Source organism: Homo sapiens, chromosome X (assembly GCF_000001405.40).
Source record: "Homo sapiens chromosome X, GRCh38.p14 Primary Assembly".
Classification (NCBI taxonomy): domain Eukaryota; kingdom Metazoa; phylum Chordata; class Mammalia; order Primates; family Hominidae; genus Homo; species Homo sapiens.
The window spans coordinates 116,262,763-116,264,812 of NC_000023.11; positions in this window are offsets into that span (position 1 = coordinate 116,262,763).

Below are 2,050 nucleotides of genomic sequence, written 5' to 3' on the forward strand. Positions count from 1 at the left end.
ATATATTTATGGGGTACATGAGATATTTTGGTACAGGCATGCAATGTGTAATAATCACATCATAGATGGTGTCTTTTTTATATAATGATTTTTTTTCCCTTTTGGGTAGATACCCAGAAGGAGGATTCCTGGATTGATTGGTATAGAACTTTTCCTTTTGTGTTGTTTTTAGGGACCTATACATAGGTGTTATTTAATTATCTTCCTTAGTTTTAAACTCCAAATGGTAATACGTGGCTAGATTAGTTACTTTATTAGTAGTCATTATTCATGACATTTATTACCGTTTGACCCAGTTATGCCCCTTTAAGGGTATCTCTCAACTCCAAGAAGCAAGCCAAGATACATAAAACAAGTTACATACCATAGGTTTGTTCCTGCCAGGGCAATTTCTAAGTCGGCTACTTAGATTAAGAACCCACTTCCACACTTACATGTGTACTGAGTTCATAGATAGCACTCACATCCCCTTGATTAGACTGGGTGGGGGTTGTATCATCATAATCCTCATCATTTTCACCTTAGTTCTAAAGATTTAAATATTTTTTCCAGGAGTCAGCCCCCTCACAGTGATGTGAATATTTTTCTATTGAAGAGATCAAAAGAATGTGCCATAAGAACATCTCTTCAGCAAATGATATGATTAAGAAAGTGAAAAGGTAAGCTACAGTATAGGAGATGTTTGTAATACATTAATCTGACAATTTCTATCTGGAATATATGAAGACTCCCTACAAATCAAACAGAAAAAGGAAAAACAAAACACATGGGCAAAAGAACTGAACAGGCAGTTAACAAAGGAATATATCCAAATAAGCAATTTTCTTATCAGAGGGTACTTAACATCATTAGCCATTAGAGAAGTGCAGAATAGAAGCATAACAAAATGTCATTACAGACTCACTATTATGGTTAAAATTAAATAAATGAACAATACCAAGTTCTTGTGAGAATGTGAAACAATTGAAACTAAAATACATTGCTGGTGGAAGTATAAATGAGTACAACCACTTTTGAAAAATGTTTGATATATGTTTTTTAAAAGTTAATTTGGTAAAATACACATAAAATACAATTTACCATCTTAACCATTTTAAAATGTACGGTTCCGTGGTATCAAGTATAGTCATATTGTTCTGCCACCATCTCCACCATCCATCTCCAGCACTCTTTTCATATTGCAAAAAACCCTGCACCCATGAAATATTAACTCTCCCTTTTCCTCTACTTCCAGCCCCTGGACACTACCACTCTACCTTCTGTCTCTATGAATCTGACTACTCTAGATACCTCACATAAGTGAAATTGTAAAGTATTTGTCTTTTTTGATAGGCTTATTTCACGTAGCATAATATCCTTAAGATTCATCCACATTGTAGCATGTGTCAAAATTTATTTTCTTTCTATGGCTAAAAACATTCAATTGTGTGTACATATCACATTTTGTTTATCCATTCATCTCTCATTGGACACTTGAGTTCATTCTACCTTTTGGTTTTTGTGAATAATGTTACGAATATGTGTGTACAAGTATCTCTTCAAGATCCTGCTTCCAATTCTTTCGGATTGGCAGCACCTTTTAAAAAGCTACATATGACTTTCTATAACCTAAAAATTTTGGATGAGAAGTACTTATGTTCATAAGAAGACTTGTACAACAATCTACATAGTGTTTTTCTTTTGTAATATCCCCACATTGGAAAGAAGCCAAACATCCTTAACTACTAGAATCCACAGATAAACTGTGGTATATTCCCACAGTGCAGTATTACATATCAATGAACAGAACAAGCTAATGATACATGCAAGAACATGGATTATTTTAAAAACATAATGCTGAGGAAAAGAAGCTACATACTCAAGAGTGCATACTGTATGATTCCATTTATATAAGGTTCAAACACTGTCACAACAAATCTATGTTGACACTGCTTAGAGGAATGGTTTCTTTTGGGAGAGGGCAATGACTGATAGAAAGCATAAGGGAGCTTTCTGAGGTTCAAGAAATGCCCTACAACTTGATCTGGGTGGTGGTTACATGGTTGTACAC